At 43.5% G+C, this 19,525-nt stretch overlaps 1 protein-coding gene across 1 annotated transcript in view; it reads left to right on the top strand.

Annotated features, from left to right (window-relative positions):
• HYDIN (HYDIN axonemal central pair apparatus protein) overlaps positions 1-19,525 on the top strand; it is a 428,639-nt gene that overhangs the window by 308,476 nt on the left and 100,638 nt on the right. Inside the window, exons 46-52 of the mRNA NM_001270974.2 lie at positions 1,030-1,656; positions 3,818-4,036; positions 13,386-13,594; positions 13,813-13,995; positions 14,756-14,875; positions 18,183-18,342; positions 18,450-18,622. Of these exons, the coding sequence (NP_001257903.1) occupies positions 1,030-1,656; positions 3,818-4,036; positions 13,386-13,594; positions 13,813-13,995; positions 14,756-14,875; positions 18,183-18,342; positions 18,450-18,622 (1,691 nt within the window). The remainder of the gene's footprint in view (positions 1-1,029; positions 1,657-3,817; positions 4,037-13,385; positions 13,595-13,812; positions 13,996-14,755; positions 14,876-18,182; positions 18,343-18,449; positions 18,623-19,525) is intronic.

Genomic DNA, 19,525 nt, shown 5'->3' with positions numbered 1-19,525 from the left:
TGCCTCCCCCACATGAGGCACCGTGCCAGCCTGCAGTGTTGCTGCCTCCCCAGGCTGTGTTGGAGATGGAGAAGCAAAGAAGGAGGAAGGGCAGCAAGATGAGGGGAAAAGCCAGCCCCTGGTCGTTCATGTCTCCAAGCCTGATGCTGGCCTGAACTTAGAGAGGAGGAGAGCTAGACCTGGGAAGGGAGACACTGGCTGCACTGCAGATAGCAGTCACTAGACTGGAATGGACTTTGCATAATATCATCAAAGAATGACCCAAAAAACGATGGAGCCTACCCGAGGATTTCATCCAGGGGAGGAGAAAATCAGAGTCCACAAAACAAGTTTAAAAGTGCAGTAAGAAAAAGAATAAAGTTGGTTTCTCTATGCTCAGAGCATTAAATAAATACATATTTTAAAAGCCTGAGGTGCAGCCAAATTCTAAACCCCCATTTGTTCCCATCAATATCCATTGTATACAATACATGTGTGGTTTTAATAACTGAAAAGGCACTGTTGTAAGCTTTTTACATGCATTCACACATTTAATCTTCAGGAGTCCTCTGGAGTAGGTATTAATGTTGCTATCTCCGTTATACAGATGAGGCAGAGAGAGGCTGAGTCCTCTCCCAGGGTCACAGCTACCAAGCAGTGCAGCTGGGATTGGACCACTACACGCTGTGGCCTATCCCAGGGCACCTGAGGCAGGTGCATATGGCTTGCATCTGCTAGTCTTTTCCCCTTGATCCTGCAGAACAGCAGCTCTCAACCAGGAGTACACATCAAAGTCACTCTGCACCTTTTCCAAAATGCACAATGCCAGGACCCAGCCAGATCTCAAACAGAGAAGGACCATGGAATAGATTTTTAGATTTAGATTAAAACCCCCAAGATGATTCCCAGGCACAACCTTAGCGTGCAGGGGAGGTGCCCAGATCCTCGGAGACCTTCTCATGAGACAAAATGTCCTTTTGCTCCTCCTTATGCAATTTACTACCCCGTAAAAAACTGTTTGACGCATCTTTTCTGTGTCATGCCTTCTAGGTTCCTCCGCTCACCAAAGTGGATGTCAAGATGGAGACAATCGAAAGGAAAATATCTGTTAGGGAACAAACAATGTCTGAGAAGGAAGAGCTAAATAAGAAGAAAAGGAACATGGGCGATGTCAGCATGCATGGGCTTCCTCTTGTCCAGGACCAAGAGGACAGTGAAGGGGACAACTCAAAGGACCCCGACAAGCAACTGGCCCCGAAGTTTAAGACCTATGAATTGACACTGAAGGATGTCCAGAACATCCTCATGTACTGGGACCGGAAGCAAGGAGTCCAGCTGCCTCCTGCAGGGATGGAGGAAGCGCCCCATGAGCCCGACGACCAGCGCCAGGTCCCCTTGGGTGGGCGCAGGGGCCGCAAGGACCGGGAGAGAGAGCGCCTGGAGAAGGAGCGCACGGAGAAGGAGCGCCTGGAGAGGGAGAAGGCGGAGCGGGAGCGCCTGGAGAAGCTGCGAGCCCTGGAGGAGCGGAGCGACTGGGAGGGGGAAGGGGAGGAGGACCACGAAGGGAAGAAGGAGAAGGACCTGGGCGTACCCTTCCTAGACATCCAGACACCAGACTTTGAAGGCTTGAGCTGGAAGCAGGCCCTAGAGAGCGACAAGCTTCCCAAAGGAGAGCAGGTATGGACTCTCCTCCAGGGTGGGGAAGTCTCAAGTCAGGCAGCAGGCGCTGTGCTAAGGTCATCAGGGGTGCTTCTCCCTACCTGAAACCCATATCCCCTCAACTGCATGCATCTCTAATGCCCCCTTGGAATTAAGACAATAATGACTAAAGGACCTTTTCTACTTGGCAAGAGAAAATTCATAGGAAATGTCACACATCTAGATTAGTCCATCCAACCTTATGGGAAGCCACCTGTAATGGTTGGTTTTTAATATTGATAATATGGGTGCTACAGAATGGCAAGGCAGGTGAGGCTTTGGGGTGAAGCAGGAGACCCATCCACTCCAAAATCTTCCCACAGACCTCCCACAGTGACAGAAATTATCCTATAAGACAGCTCTTCTTTCCTATAAACAAAAGTATTGTGTATCCAAAAGCCACCTTTGCTAGCAGTTTGGAGGAGAGGCTTATTATAGCCTTTTCTCCAGGGACAGGTTTTTTCTGTAAAGGACCAGAAAGTAAGCATTTTAGGCTGCGGGTGATACCACTTCTATCAAAACTACTCCACTTGGCCTTCAGAGGGTAAAAGTGACCACCAGCAACATGTAAATGAATGGGCATGGCCGTGTTCCAATTCAAGTTTATTTAGAAAAAGTAGCAGGCCAGATTCAGCCAGGGCACCACAGTTTGCTGCCCTCTGGTTTCGTTCATGACAAACTAGATGCAACTTTTTTTCTTTTTTTCTTTTTTTTTTTTTTGAGATGGAGTCTCACTCTGTTGCCCAGGCTGGAGTGCAGTGGCACAATATCAGCTCACTGCAACCTCTGCCTCTGGTGTTCAAGCGATTCTCCTGCCTCAGCCTCCTAAGTAGCTGGGACTATAGGCATGCACCAGCACGACCAGCTAATTTTTTTGTATCTTTAGTAGAGACAGGGTTTCACCATGTTGGTCAGGCTGGTCTTAAACTCCTGACCTTAAATGATCAGCCTCAGCCTCCCAAAGTGCTGGGATTACAGGCATGAGTCAACTTTTAAAAGTAGAGACTAGAGCCTGGGAGGGATATGTGGCAGGTCAGGGATGACGGGAGGATCAGAGTCATCCCTGCAATCCATGTGACTTCCATGTGCCGCGGCCCACAGTAGAAGCCTTGCCACAGTGGTCCCGGGTGGCACCACAGGCGGGAAGGACTGCTGGGGGACACACAACATCAGCTCTACGCCCTTCCCAGTTTCACCTCAGGCCAGCCTTAGCTAAGGAATTGTGATTTTTTCCCTGGAAATGTTTTTTTTTAAAAAAAGGACTATAACAAGAACATCTTCTTGCCTTGTTTTGTACTCTCCACCTTCCAAATCATAGGTTAGACTGCTGCTTGAAGAACTCCCTGGCTCTGGTAATTCAACAATTGCCACAAATCATTCTTGCCTTTCCTCATAGACATTCTAAATCCTGGGAGTTAACTCAGCTGCGTATTTGTCAGGAAATGCCTTTAGCTCCTTGACACACAGGATGAGAAGCACAGGATTACATGAAGATATTTAGTTACTTGCTGGGCCTCACAGGCCCAGTGGTCCACAGGCTGGGCCCTCAGGTGGGCTGTAACCTTTACTGTTGTGATAATGGCTATTAGTCTAGAGGCAACATGCTTATTCTGAGGCAGGAAGTAGCTGTTAAATTTTCAAACCATTTGCTCTGGAAATTGCTCATTCATTATATATGAGAGCAGGATGGGAAAATGCTGGAGGAATAAATGTTTTCTCTCTCAGGTTATTTTTCACTTCTCTCTTCATTCCCATTCTCATCCCCAGTCCCAGAACCTTTGCTTTATTATTTTCTTTGCTGCATTTGACTTGCTCCTATCCCAACTTTCTTTCACCTTGGAAGGAAGGAACATTTAACGCAAAAAGAAAAATTAACATGGAATCTGAAAATAGATGGAAAAACTCTGTACTCTAGATATTAGAACATTAAGAGCTGGCCTCTTCATATTAAACAGAGATTTATTGATTGCCTGCTATGTGCTAGGCTGTGTGCCATATCCACCTGCTAACCATCCTAATGGAGTTTACAGCCCAGTTGCAAAGGCAGACAATTAAACAATTGCCATAAAGTATAACAAAGGCTATGGTAAGAGAGGCATAGGGTTTTGCACAGGAAATTCACAATGGGCCTTTCCTTTAGATCCTAGACATCTTGGGTCTGGGTGCCTCCGGACCACCCATCCCGCCTCCCGCCTTATTCTCAATCGTCTCCTACCCGGTGAAGCGGCCACCTTTGACCATGACAGACGACCTGGAGCATTTTGTATTTGTGATCCCACCATCCGAAGATATATCTCTGGATGAAAAAAAAGAAATGGAAATAGAATCAGACTTTTTGGCCACCACAAACACTACAAAGGTAACACATGAGCAGTTTATTCTCCTAACCTTGGCAGGACTTCAGCAGGCAGGGAGAGAAGGTCACCCTCCACCAGACCAAAAATGGAGCCTGGCATGAGGTGTTCTGCTCGCTGGGTTATTTTCCCTTGACTCGTTGGGGATCCTACCTGAAAACCTCATGTGAGCATCCCTGAACTGCACCTTCCCTGGCTCTGACTTGTCCTACCTCCTAAGAGGAAACGGATAATGATTGATTCTCACCTAACAACCTTTGCAGTCCCCATTGGAGGGTTTAGGGAACTTGTCAAGTTACCCTGCAGCACATCCACAGTAAGAAAATAAGCAAAACTAGCACTCTTAAAAAGATATCTAATCTTTTTTAAAACATAAAAATGTGTTTTGAAGCTAAGGTGATTCGCATAGTGTGTAAGAATATAAGAATCAACACACACAAGTTAAGGGGACATGCGCCACTGCAGAAAGGATAAATTATTAAAGAAATTAGGATGGGAAGATTGGATGTTTGGGGTAAAGTCACTGTTTGTGACACAATACAGTAAAATACATTCCAGCTGGGTTAAAATATAAATAATCAAAATAAAATTGTGCAGAAATAGAAGAAAATATATGCAATTAATAGAATAAATCACAAGAAAAATAAATTTGACCAATAATATGCAGCAAGTGTGTATATTTAAAATTATAGAAGGTTTTTTTATTCCCAGAGGAGAAGGGTGGTCCACAATTTGAATCTCTGCACACAGCCTTCTATAAACCATGCACATCAGCAAAGAGAGCTCGTAACTTCACCTATAAGTCCTGCTTACATGTAAATTGGGGATAGAGACTACCCCAAACCTCAGTTTACAAGGAAGAAGGAAATCAACATCTGAGATCAGTAGCGTCGGTGGGCATGCCTCACCCAAGCAGAGAGTCCCTGGTGACATTTCAAATTGAAAAGATAAAGAAGAAAAACTTTCCATCAACCCCTTATTGTGAAAATCAGCCGGCTGGGCACTGTGGCTCAGGCCTGTAATCCCCACACTTTGGGAGGTTGAGGTGGGCAGATTGCTTGAGCCCAGATGTTTGAGACCACCCTGGGAATATGGTGAAACCCCATCTCTACAAAAAATACAAAAATTAGCCGGGCATGGTGGCATGCACCTGTAGTCCCAGCTACTCAGGAGGCTGAGGTGGGAGGATCGCTTGAGCCCTGGAGTCAGAGTTATAGTGAGTTGAGATGACACCACTGCACTCCAGCCTGGGCAATAGAGTGAGATCCTGTCTCAAAAGAAAAAGAAAAGAAAGACGGAAGGAATAGAAGAGAGAGAGGGGAAAGAAAGAAAGAAAAACAGAGGAAGGAAGCAAGGAAGGAAGGAAGGAAAAAGAGAGAAAGAGAAAAAGAAAAGAAAAAGAAATGGCACTTAAGAATGCTCAGAAGAATTCAGACTATGGAGTATTTTGTAAGAACACAAATCTGGTCTCTCTAAAAAGGCAGTGTGATTGGGAGAGGGGGCAGGAGGGTCTAGATTGAAAGATACTAAAGAAACATAACAGATCATGGCAGACAGGAGGCAGGACTGGATGCAACTCCAACTCGGGTGGATAGAGCAGCAAGTCTCGCATTGTGAATTTTAGCTCCAGAACAACTGCAGGAATAAATCAAGAAACCTGAAGGGAACCACAGACCCTCTGGAGCAAGCAGCAGACTGCTCCTGCAGGACCCAGGAGACACCCCAAATACTGTGAGTGCCCAAACTGCAGAAGTGGGAAAGGAAGATCCTCCGCCCCTGGATACACACCCCAACTGGGGAAACTGAAGGTCTAGTTTAAAGGAGAAGATTCCAACCTTACCTGGAGCTGAGTCAATTTAGAGAGTTGAGCAAAATACAGGGGTAGAGGAAGCAGCAGGAAAGGCCCTGGGAGCTCCCTAGGTCCCCAAGCAGGCCATTCCTGTCTGGCATCACAGGGATCTTTCAGGAGGACAGCCAGAGGCCCAGGGAAAATGCCACAGGGAGAAGGAAGTCTCCAGCTGAACTTTGTAACAATTTGAACTGGACGAGAAGCCTCCTGGCCAGGACTCTGGGAAGGGCACAAATCCAGCATGCAGACTCCACAGGCAGGGGAAGAACTAAAGCCATACTTGCTTTCACAGCTGGGAGGTGGGTAGCCTGGGGCAAGTTCTCAGCCCTGCTTGCCCACTGCCTGGAAACAGACTCAATGCTGTTGGTGGGGGCATGGTGGGAGTAAGACCAGCCCTTTGGATTGCATGGGAGCTGGGTGAGGCCTGTAACTGCTGGCTTTTGCCCACTTCCCTGACAACCTGCACGACTCAGCAGAGGGAGGCATAATCCTCCTAGGTACATAACTCCATTGACCTAGGAACCTCACCCCCATCCTCCACAGCAGCCACAGCAAGACCAGCCCAAAGAGAGTCTGAGCTCAGACATGCCTAGCCCTGTCCCCAACTGATGGTCCTTCCCTACCCACCCTGGTACCTGAACACAAAGGGCATATATTCTTGGGAGTTCTAGGGCACTACCCACCACTGGTTCCTTCCTCTCCATATTACCACAGCTGATGGTCTCTGGAAAGTGCCCCCTCCCATCAGGAAGCCAACCAGCACAGAAATAGAGCATTAAACCACCAAAGCTAAGAATCCTCACAGAGTTCATTTCACCCCCCTGCCACCTCCGCCAGAAGAGGTGCTGGTGTCCATGACTGAGAGACCCATAGATGTTTCACATCACAGGACTCTGTGCAGACAACCCCCGTACAAGCCCAGAGCCTGGTAGACTTGCTGGGTGGCTAGACCCAGAAGAGAGATAACCATCAGCACAGCTCGGCTCTCAGGAAGCCACATCCATAGAAAAAGGGGGAGCATACTACATCAAGGGAACACCCTGTGGGACAAAAGAATCTGAACAACAGCCTTCAGCCATAGACTTTCCCTCTGACAGAGCCTACCCAAATAAGAAGGAACCAGAAAACCAACTCTGATAATATGACAAAACAAGGCCCTTTAGTAGCCCCCCAAAATCACAGTAGCTCACTAGCAATGGATTCAAACCAAGAAGAAATCCCTGATTTACCTGAAAAAGAATTCAGGAGGTTAGTTATTAAGCCAATCAGAGAGTAACCAGAGAAAGGTGAAGCCCAGTTCCAGAAAATCCAAAAAATGATAGAAGAAGTAAAGGGAGAAATATTCAATGAAATACACAGCATAAATAAAAAACAATCAAAACTTCAGGAAATATTGAACACACTTAGAGAAATGCAAAATGCTCTGGAAAGTCTCAACAATAGAATTGAACAAGTAGAAGAAAGAAATTCAGAGCTCAAAGACAAGATCTTCTAATTAACCCAATCCAACAAAGACAAAGAAGAAAGAATAAGAAAACATGAACAAAGCCTCCAAGAAGTCTGGGATTATGTTAAATGACCAAACCTAAGAATAATCAGTGTTCCTGAGGAAGAAGAGAAATCTAAAAGTTTGGAAAACATATCTGGGGGAATAATCGAGGAAAACTTCCCCAGCCTTGCTAGAGACCTAGACATCCAAATACAAGAAGCACAAAGAACACCTGGAAAATTCATCACAGAAAGATCATCACCTAGGCACATTGTCATCAGCTTATTTAAAGTTAAGACGAAGGAAAGAATCTTAAGAGCTGTGAGACAAAAACAACATAATCAACAAAGGAAAACCTATCAGATTAACAGCAGATTTCTCAGCAGAAACCCTACAAGATAGAAGGGATTGGGGCCCTATCTTCAGACTCCTCAAACAAAAGAAGTATCAGCCAAGAATTTTGTATCCAGCAAAACTAAGCATCGTATATGAAGGAAAGATACAGTCTTTTTCAGACAAACAAATGCTGAGAGAATTTGCCACTACCAAGCCAGTATTATAAGAACTGCTAAAAGGAGCTCTAAATCTTGAAACAAATCCTGGAAACACATCAAAACAGAACTTCTTTAAAGCATAAACCTCACAGGACCTATAAAACAAAAATACAATTAAAAAAAACAAAAAAGCAAAAAACCAAGGTACACAGGCAACAAATAGCACAATTAATGGAATGGTACCTCACATCTCAATACTAACATTGAATGTAAATGCCTAAATGCTTTACTTAAAAGATACAGAACTGCAGAATGGATAAGAATTCACCAACCAACTATCTGCTGCCTTCAAGAGACTCACCTAACATATAAGGTCTCACATAAAGTAAAAGGGTGGAAAAAGGCTTTCATGCAAATGGACACCAAAAGAGAGCAGGGACAGCTATTCTTATATCAGACAAAATGAGCTTTAAAGCAACAGCAGTTTAAAAAGACAAAGAGGGACATTATATAATGGTAAAAGCCCTGTCCAACCAGAAAATACCACAGTCCTAAACACAGATGCACCTAACACTGGAGCTCCCAAATTTGTAAAACAATTACTAATAGACCTAAGAAATGAGATAGACAGCAACACAATAATAGTGGGGGACTTCAGTACTCCACTGACAGCACAAGACAGGCCATCAAGACAGAAAGTCAACAAAGAAACATGAATTTAAACTATAACTTGGAACAAATGGACTTAACAGATACATACAGAACATTCCATCCAACAGCCACAGAATACACATGCTACTCAACAGTTCATGGAACTTTCTCCAAGATAGACCATATGATAGGCCGCAAAATGAGCCTCAATAAATTTAAGAAAATTGAAATTATATCAAGCACTCTCTCAGACCACAGTGGAATAAAACTGGAAATCAACTCCAGAAGGAACCTTCAAAGCCATGCAAATACATGAAAATTAAATAACCTGCTCCCGAATGATCACTGGGTCAAAAACAAAATCAAGATGGAAATTTAAAACTTCATAGAACTGAATGACACAACCTATCAAAACCTCTGGGATACAGCAAAGGTGATGCCAAGCAGAAAGTTCACAGCCCTAAATGCCCACATCAAAAAGACTGAAAGAGCACTAACTGCCAATCTAAGGTCACACCTCAAGGAACTAGAGAAACAAGAACAAATCAAACCCAAACCCAGCAGAAGAAAGGAAATAACCAAGGTCAGAGCAGAACTAAATGAAATTGAAACAAAAAAAAAAGCAATACGAAAGATAAATGAAACAAAAAGCTGGTTCTTTGAAGAGATAAATAAAATTGATAGACCATTAGCAAGATTAACCAAGAAAAGAAGAGAGAAAAATCCAAATAACCTCAATAAGAAACAAACAGGAGATATTACAACTGACACCACAGAAATACAAAAGATCATTCAAGGCTACTATGAACACCTTTACACTCACAAACTAGGAAACCTGGAAGAGATGGATAAACTCCTGGAAAAATACAACCCTCCTAGCTTAAATCAGGAAGAACTAGATACCCTGAACTGACCAGTAACAAGCAGTGAGATTGAAATGGTAATTTAAAAATTACCACCAAAAAAAAGTCCAGGACCAGATGGATTCACAGCAGAATTCTACCAGACATTCAAAGAAGAATGGATACCCATCCTATTGACACTATTCCACAAGATAGAGAAAGAGGGAACCCTCCCTAATTCATTCTATGAAGCCAGCATCACCCTAATTCCAAAACCAGGAAGGGACACAACCAAAAAAAGAAAACTGCAGGCCGATATGCCTGATGAACATAGATGCTAAAATCCTTAACATTTAGCTAACCAAAATCCTTAACATTTAGCTAATCAAATCCAACAGCATATCAAAAAGTTAATCCACAATGATCAAGTGGGTTTCATACCAGGGATTCAGGGATGGTTTAACATATGCAAGTCAATAAATGTGATATACCACATTAACAGAATTAAAAACAAAAATCACATGATCATTTCAATAGATGCAGAAAAAGCCTTTGACAAAATCCAACATCCCTTTATGATTAAAACTCTCAGCAAAATCAGCATACAAGGAACACACCTCAATGTAAAAAAAGCCATCTGTGACAAACCCAAAGCCAACATAATACTGAATGAGGAAAAGTTGAAAGTGTTCCCTCCAAGGACTGGAACAAGACAAGGATGCCCACTCTCATCACTCCTCTTCAACATTGTACTGGAAATCCTCGCCATAACAATCAGACAAGAGAGAGCAATAAAGGGTATCCAAATCAGCAAAGAGGAAGTCAGACTCTCACTGTTTGCTGATGACGTGGTCATTTACTTTGAAAACCCTGAAGACTCCCTAGAAAGATCCTAGAACTGACAAAAGAATTCAGCAGTTTCTGGATACAAAATTAATGTACACAAATCAGTAGCTCTTCTATACACCAACAATGACCAAGCAGAGAATCAAATCAATAACTCAACCTCTTTTACAATAACTGCAAAAAAACAAATAAAATACTTAGGAATATACCTAACCAAGGAGGTGAAAGACCTCTGCAAGGAAAACTACAAAACACTGCTGAAAGAAATCATAGATGACACAAACAAATGGAAACATCTCATGCTCATGGATGGGTAGAATCAATATTGTGAAAATGACCATACTGCCAAAAGCAATCTACAAATTCAATGCAATTTCCATCAAAATACCACCATCATTCTTCACAGAATTAGGAAAAAATTATAAAATTCATATGGAACCAAAAAAGAGCCCACATAGCCAAAGCAAGACTAAGCAAAAAGAACAAATCTGGAGGCATCACACTACCTGATTTCAAACTATACTGTAAGGCCATAGTCACCAAAACAGCATGTTACTGATATAAAAATAGGCATATAGACCAATGGAACAGAATAGAGAACCCAGAAAGAAACCCAAATACTTACAGCCAACTGGTCTTCGACAAAGCAAACAAAAACATAAAGTGGGGAAAGGACATCCTTTTCAACAAATAGTGCTGGGATAATTGGCTAGCCACATGTAGGAGAATGAAACTGGATCCTCATCTCTCACCTTATACAAAAATCAACTCAAGATGGATTAAGGACTTAAATCTAAGACCTGAAACTATAAAAATTCTAGAAGATAACATTGGAAAAACCCTTCTAGACATTGGCTTAGGCAAGGATTTTATCACCAAGAACCCAAAAGCAAATGCAATTAAAACAAAGATAATTAGCTGGAACTTAATTAAACTAAAGAGCTTTTGCATGGCAAAGGTAGCAGTCAGCAGAGTAAACAGACAACCTACAGAGTGGGAGAAAATCTTCACAATCTGTACATCTGACAAAGGACTAATATCCAGAATCTACAATGAACTGAAACAAATCAGCAAGAAAAAAACAAATAATCCCATCAAAAAGTGGGCTAAAGACATGAATAGACAATTCACAAAAGAAGATATACAAATGGCCAACAAGCATATGAAAAAATGCTCAACATCACTAATGATCAGGGAAATGCAAATCAAAACCACAATGTGATACCACCTTACTCCTGCAAGAATGACCATAATCAAAAAATAAAAAATAAATAAATAAATAAAAACAGTAGCTGTTGGCATGGATGCGGTGCATCAAGAAACACCCTTCTACACTGCTGATGGGAATGTAAACTAGTACAACCACTATGGAAAACAATGTGGACATTCCTTAAAGAACTAAAAGTAGAACTGCAATTTGATCCAGCAGATCTGGATCTAGATACTGCATATCTACCCAGAGGAAAAGAAGTCATTATACGAAAAAGATACTTGCACACACATGTTTATAGCAGCACAATTCACAATTGCAAAATGGTGGAACCATCCCAAATGCCCATCAGTCAACAAGTGGATAAAGAAACTGTGGTATATATATACACAAAGGAATACTACTCAGCCATAAGAAGGAATGAATTAACGGCATTCACAGCTACCTGAATGATATCGGAGACTATTATTCTAAGTGAAGTAACTCAGGAATGGGAAACATCGTATGTTCTCACTGATATGTGGTAGCCAAGCTATGGGGACACAAAGGCATAAGAATGATACAATGGACTTTGGGGACTTGGGGGGAAGGGTGGGAGAGGGCAAGAGATAAAAGACTACAAATAGGGTGCAGTGTATACTGCTCGGGTGATGGGTGCACCAAAATCTCACAAATCGCCACCAGAAAACTTACTCATGTAATCAAATACCACCTGTACCCCAATAACCTATAAAAAATAGAAAAATAATAAAAAATTAAAAAAGAAACATAACAAAACACAATATAGGAACTTTGATTAATACTTATTTGGGAAAAAATGTCTATAAATAAAGACATGCCTGAGGCCAGGCGCGGTGGCTCACGCCTGTAATCCCAGCACTTTGGGAGGCTGAGGCAGGTGGATCGCGAGGTCAGATCGAGACCATCCTGGCTAACATGGTGAAACCCCGTCTCTACTAAAAATACACAAAATTAGTCAGGCGTGGTGGCAGGCGCCTGTAGTCCCAGCTACTTCAGAGGCTGAGGCAGGAAAATGGCGTGAACCCAGGAGGCGGAGCTTGCAGTGAGCTGAGATGGCACCACTGCACTGCAGCCTGGGCGACAAAGCGAGACTCTATCTCAAAAAAAAAAAAAAAAAAAAAAAAAGACATGCCTGAGACAAATAGGAAAATTTTAATATAGACTGTGTGCCAGAACGATAGTGTGGAATTATTGTTCATTTTCTTAGGTGTGATGACAGTATTGTGCAGGATTGCAGGAGAAAGTCCTTTCTTGAGGAGGTGTATTTAGAGGCAAGGAGTCATCATGTCTGCAAGGTATCTTCAAATGGCTCAGGAGAAAAAGTGGCAACTGTTAAAACTAGTTATTACTGTACCAGGCCTTCAACTCTTAAAGTTTTCTTTTTTAAAAGATGGTGGAAATGATAAATAAATTAAAGGCAAAAATTTTTTTTTGATCAGGAAACATGAAAATACCACTAGAAAAATGGGAACTTCTTATTAAACACAGCAGATTAAACACATGTTTATCTCTACCTCTCCCAAAACAGTAAGATTTTCTTTTCATGTATAATTCTAAGAATAAAGAGAAGGAGAGAGAGCTGGTGGTGAGGGGTATATGCCAACAAAATATTAGGAAGTAGACAGCAAGCAGATGGGGATAACTGGCTTAGTGGTACCAAGAAGGCTACAATCCCCGCTGTCCATTGTGGGTTCTGCCAGGAGCTAAGACTTGAGTTCCACGCACACCCTCCAGCTTCCAGCTTTCTCTAGGGTTTCATCCTCCTTCTGAGGGACTAGGGTGCCAAGGAATGCACTGGTCTTGTCACTACCCAAGACTAGACCCTGCCCTGCTCTAGCCTTCCTGACCCTGCAGCACCATCTCCCCAGATGACAGACATGTGGCCATCTCTGTCTTCTGTTTGTGTGTACAAAAAGTGAATATTTAAGACCTCATGCTCGTTTTTAATTAAGGCTCAAGAGGAGCAGACCAGCTCATCTAAGGGGGGCAAACAGAAAATGAAAGAAAAGATAGACCAAGTCTTCGAGATTCAGAAAGACAAGCGTCACATGGCCTTAAACAGGAAGGTCCTTTCTGGGGAACCTGCTGGAACCATTTCCCAGCTGTCAGATACAGACCTGGACAACTTCAACGGGCAGCACTCCCAGGAGAAATTCACCAGGTGGGCCTTCCAGCAACCCAGGGAGGGGAATCTGGGCCAAAGCCCACACTGAGGGTGTGACTGTCACAGCACTGGAGGGGAACAGAGCTGTCCTGTCTGTGGGGCTCCAGGGGCCACCATGCCCACCCCAACAGGACAGGACTTCCAGGCAGCTCTCCTGTCTTCTCTTGGCCAGAGGGGAGCACTCTCACTTTATAAACCTGTGTGGTCATTTGCAGACTGAATCACTTCCGGTGGATCGTGCCAGCCAATGGCGAGGTAACGTTGCAGGTGCACTTCTCTTCTGATGAGTTCGGGAACTTTGACCAAACCTTTAACTTTGAGATCCTAGGAACTTGCTGCCAGTACCAGCTCTACTGCCGAGGCATCTGCACTTACCCATACATTTGCCAAGACCCAAAGTAAGTGTGTTTCATTTTAAAAGAAAAGGTTGACAGATGTGTTTTCATTTTCCTCCATGGCACTTTGAACAAGGTGGCTCTTACCATAACGTGGAGCTGGGGCAGCACCCCAGCCCCTCTTGTCATATCAGCTTCCATGTCTTGAATATTGACCAAGAGCCACAGGGAGGACATGATACTACCAGGATTCCTAGACTGCAATAAAGAGAATGATCATAGGTGCAAAGGGGGAGGAAAAAAGTCTTCCTTTGGCAAATTAGTTTGCTCATTTAACTATTAAGCAAATTTAAAGCAGTTCTATCCTGTAGTATAGAAACCATGTGTGACTCTGCATGGGTGAAATTTTTCCAAGCTACTGAACACCACTGTAGAGCTCCTACACTACAGAAAAGCACCTGGCTGAGCAACTGGCCATATTAGACCAAGGGACTCAGAAGCTAATTCATATCTCCCAGAACCAATTTTCCATAGGGATTCTCAGGAATGTTTTCAGCTGGGTGCACTGGGACAGAATATCTGACTCAGCTCTGTCACTGCTCCTCATTATAGAAGACACCACTGGGAGTCTTTTTTTTTCAAGTTCATTTCATACTGTCTTCTCTGGTGGTGGGAAGGAGCTGGGACAAAGAAGAGTCACTCTGTCTCCAGATGCCCGGATCCCGTGTTGAGCAGGGAATATTGGGTTTATGTAAACATCACGTGGCAGCATCAAACTTCTGTTCAGGCAGCCTCTCCTCACCTTTTCCCCTCCTGTGTTCAGAGTGGTATTTCCTCAGCGGAAGATGGACATGAAGACAAATGAGGTCATCTTTAAGAAGTATGTTATGAGCACGGAGACGTACTACTTTGGGCCACTACTTTGTGGAAAATCAAGAGATAAGTAAGTGTTCCATTATTTTAAAGCAGATTTCAGACTGCTGGGTTGGGCTCATGAACAGTGCAAGTAGGATTCCTGTGTACATAGATGTAGCTTTTACTAATGCTGCCTCTCTTAGCCCCAACCACAAATCAGGAGAACTGGGTTCTTGTGTCCCAACTCCCTGCTGGACACCCAGAGGAATGAGGGTGCCATGTTCCCATATGGGAAAGCCTAGGAGAGGTTTCAGGCTTGATCAGGGTAGGATCAAGAGTTTGCTTTAGCTTATGTTCAGTTTAAGAGGCTGGGAAGATATTTCTGTAGTTACATGAAGCAGAGAATAGGTTATACAGCTTTGGTTCTCAAAGGAGAGATCACTCTTCAAGGCAACAAAAGCCACAGACGTAGATGAGATTGCCTGAGAGAGGACTGTACAGGTAAGAAGAAAAGAAGCCCTGAATAACTCCAATATGCACAAAAGGAGGAGCAAGGAGATGAGAAAGAGAGCTAGCGCTATTGGGGAAACCAAAAAGACCAGTGTTATGGAGCCATGAAGAGAGGACATGGTTGCTACACTGAATACTGAGGAGAGGGCAGAAGGATGAGGGCATAGATGTCCACAGGGTTCAACAACATGGAGGTCACTAGGGGCCTTAGCAAGAGTTCTGTGCCCAAGCAAAGTGAAGTGAGAAGTCAGATGTGAAGAAGATAACTCTTTGGAGAAGCTTGGCTCTGAAGGGAGATGGGAGGAAAGCCTGGAGCGCAGGGCAGGCTGTTCGTGCGCTGTTATTCTTATGAGGCTTGCATGCTGAGAGGAAATGGAAGGAAGAGGTTGGAATTTCAGGAGATGGGAAGGGCCATCAATGGCATAGCTCCTTGAGACAACACAGTGGGATGTGGGGAGGCTGGCTTGTGCCAGGAAGAGGGACTGTCACTGCATGCCAACGGGGAGAAAGGCGAGATGGCATTGCAGAAGGTAGGTTTACAATTTGATTGGAAGGGTGAGGAGACTCCTACGCAATCATGTCTTTTTCTCCTTGACAAATGATGTGTGGTCATCCATTGCAAGTGAGGGGAGTGGCGAAAGTTTAAAATCTTGAGGAAATAGAGGGGGTATGAAAAACAGTTTTTGTGGAAAGTAGGAGAGGGAGCATGTTAGAGAAACAGACTGAGATTTTTAGGCAGAATTGGGGACCCACAGGTGAGACTGATGATCAGCCATTCTTAGCAATTCTAGTTTTTTTTCAGTTATATACAAATTTCTTATCATATAGGCAGGGAGTGAAACCAAAACTGGAACCAAGGTCTCCACCATGTCTTCATTCAATACAATGTTTCTTGTGCTAAGTAGAGGGTGTTAATTTCTGGGCTTTCTCGGTGCAGCTTATGGGCCATCTTTGTCCTCCATTCCCTTATTACCTCCACTTTATTCCCTGAGATGCTGGATTAAAAATTGAAGATGAAGGGAATTTGCTGATGATGGAGAAGATCTTCAAAGCCAGACAGGAGGGCTTAGGAGGGAAAAGTATGGTCAGGTTGATGGACATGAGGTACAGAACAGTCTGGGAGTAGGAGTCAGGGAAATGATGGTTGTTCAAAGAGGCACATGTTTGGGGCAGCATTGGAATTAACCAGGATGTTGGGCGAGATGACACTGATGTGGGAAGGACAGTGACTATGGTAATCCAAAATAAGTTCCAGTACAACTGTGTATTATTCACTCATTCTTTTCTTTTCTTGTCTTTTTTTTTTTTTTTTTTTTTAAGATAGGGTCTTACTCCGTCACCCAGGCTGGAATGCAGTGGTGCAATCTCAGCTCACTGCAGCCTTGAGCTCCCAGGCTCAAGCAATCCTCCCACCTCTGCCTCCCCAGTAGCTGGGACTACAGGTGTGTGCAACCACACCTGGCTAATTTTTGTAGAGATGGGGTTTCACCATGTTGCCCAGGCTGGTCTCGAACTCCGAGCTCAAGCAATCTGCCCACCTCAGCCTCTCAAAGTGCTGGATTACAGGCGTGAGCCACTGTGCCAAGCCTGTTCACTTATTATTTTAAACCGTGCTGAGCCTCAGTGTCCTCATCTGCAAAATGGGAAAGCAACAAATTCGTGAGGACTGAACTGGGTAACGCACCTGGAGCCTTTAGCACAGTGCCGGATGGAAGTGATTAGCGGTTAAGTGAGAAGGCGGCACCCCTTTGGCAGATATTCATACGGAGTGTTCTCTGTTTCACTGACTCTCATTTGGTCTCTGTCATTCTCTCTCCTTTCATCCTCCATCATGGCCTATCTAAAACCTTTTTCAGAGTGTTTCTGCTTTCCTAGCCTGTGCCGTGACCTCTGATGATGTGCCTCTTTTTCCCTTGGGCCTTCTGGTTTGCTTCGCTCAGTTACTATTAACTGAGTCTCCCTCAGTGCCCCCAGTGCTCAACTCTGCAGATCTCTCCTTAAGGTACTAAGGAACAGAAACTGCCTCCTAACAGTGAACAAGGCCAAATGAATTCATGTCAGAACAGTAACATTCTCTGAGGGTTTGGGAGAAGGAGGTGAATGAGGTCATCTCTAAAACAGATGTGAAATAAAAAATTACTCAAGTGAGGCCGGGCACGGTGGCTCATGCCTGTAATCCCAGCACTTTGGGAGGCCCAGGCAGGCGGATCATCTGAGGTCACCAGTTCGAGACCAGCCTGGCTAACATGGTGAAACCCCGTTTCTACTAAAAATACAAAAAATTAGCCAGGTGTGGTGGCATGCACCTGTAATCCCAGCTACTTGGGAGGCTGAAGCAGGAGAATTGCTTGAACCCAGGAGGTGGAGGTTGCAGTGAGCTGAGATTGCGCCACTGCACTCCAACTTGGGCAACAAGAACGAAACTCCCTCAAAAAAAAAAAAAAAAAAAAAAAAAAAAAAAAAAAAAAAAAGTTACTCAAGTGATAATCTCTCTCAGGGATATAAGCAGGTGTAAGGATAGATCTACATATTTCTCAGGATTCTTTGCAATAATCATAGCTAACATTCACTGGGCATTTGCTATCCACAGCTGTCCTGAGAGCTTTAGATGTGTGATCTCACTTCCTACTCAGCAGTCCTAAGTGGTATTATCACCTCATTTTAGAGATAAGGAGACCAAGGCTTGAGGGAGCCAAGTCACAGTGTAGCATTTATTCTCCAAGGCAAGTCTGCACAACTACAGATCTCATGTTCTTAGCCACCATGCCACTGCCTCCATGCAGCCACACTGTCCCTCTGAATTGCCTTTCTCATCACAGCCTTCTTTTCCACCTGCATTCTCATTCAGTCTTCATACCGTTAACCCCATTCTTGTTCATCCCCAGGTACAAGTCATCCTTATTCCCAGGCAACATGGAGACGCTAACAATCCTGAACACTTCCTTAATGGTGGTGGAGGCATCCTTCTATTTTCAGAATGATGTCAAAGCAAACACGTACTTCCTGGAACCCAACACCATGGTCCTGAAACCCAATGAGAAGCAGGTACGGTCATGTGGACACAAGTCACCAGGGCAAGGCTTTCTTGGGAAATTTGAGGCCTTGGCATCCTTGGTGTAAATGTACTTTCTTTTGACTTTTCCTTCCATCAGATATTAAACGTATGGGCCTACCCTACTTCAGTTGGTGTCTTTGAAGACAGCATTGTCTGCTGCATCAATGACAACCCAGAGCCAGCCATCTTCCAATTAAGCTGCCAGGGGATCCGCCCGGAACTAGAGCTGGAACCCAGGCAATTACATTTTGACCGGCTCTTGCTGCACAGGTCAGAGTTCTAGATCATGTCAGGACTGGAAGGGAATTTAAAGAGCGTTTAGTTCTAGGGTAACCAACTCATCCTGATTTACTCCAGACTCTCCTGGTTTTAGCACTGAAAGTTCTGCACCCTGGGAAACTCCTTGGTCCTATGCAAACCAGGATGGTTAGTAAACCTATTTAATTAACAGATTGTTAACTTGGGTTCAGTGGATGAACTTCAGCAGGGCCAAGGACCCCCCTAAGATCAACTACCAAAATATGCGTATGTCTGTGTTTCTGCAGAAGGACCAGCTTTCTTCAGATTCTCAAAGCAGTCTGTTGCCCAAGAGGTTAAGAATCTTTGCTCTAGAAGTTAGAGTAGAAGCAGAACATTAGACCAAAACTAGAACTTACATATTCATTAATTGGAATTATTATTGGAATTGGTATTATTATTCTAAATAGAAAAATGTTTATTTCTGGGGCTTCTGGGAGAGAATATTGTTATGATACGTGTCCTGCATTCTTTAATCACCACCACCAGCCCCATTTCCTGATAAATACTAATTAAAGAACTAAGTAATAACTGAAGTAACCAAAAGTGCTTTTTCTTACCTCCAGTGAGTCATGATCATGCCACTACACTCTAGCCTGGGTGATAGAGTGAAACCTTGTCTCGAAAAAAAAAAAAAGCATAGAGAGAAAAATATTGGTAAAAATGAGCAGAACCCCGGTAAATAGTGGGACAACATCAAGCAGTCTAACTAACATATTTGTGATTGGAATCCCAGAAGGAAAAGAGAGAGAGTGGGACAAAAAAAAAAAAAAAAATATATATATATATATATATATATATATTTAAAGAGTAGATGGAACTTTCCCAAATTTGGTGAAAAAGCAAAAACTTATAGTTCCAAGAAGCTTAGCAAAC

The sequence above is a fragment of the Homo sapiens genome, chromosome 16 (genome assembly GCF_000001405.40).
Source record: "Homo sapiens chromosome 16, GRCh38.p14 Primary Assembly".
In the NCBI taxonomy this organism is placed as follows: domain Eukaryota; kingdom Metazoa; phylum Chordata; class Mammalia; order Primates; family Hominidae; genus Homo; species Homo sapiens.
Note: the sequence above shows the minus strand (reverse complement) of the source record. Positions and strands in the feature narration are given on the sequence as shown.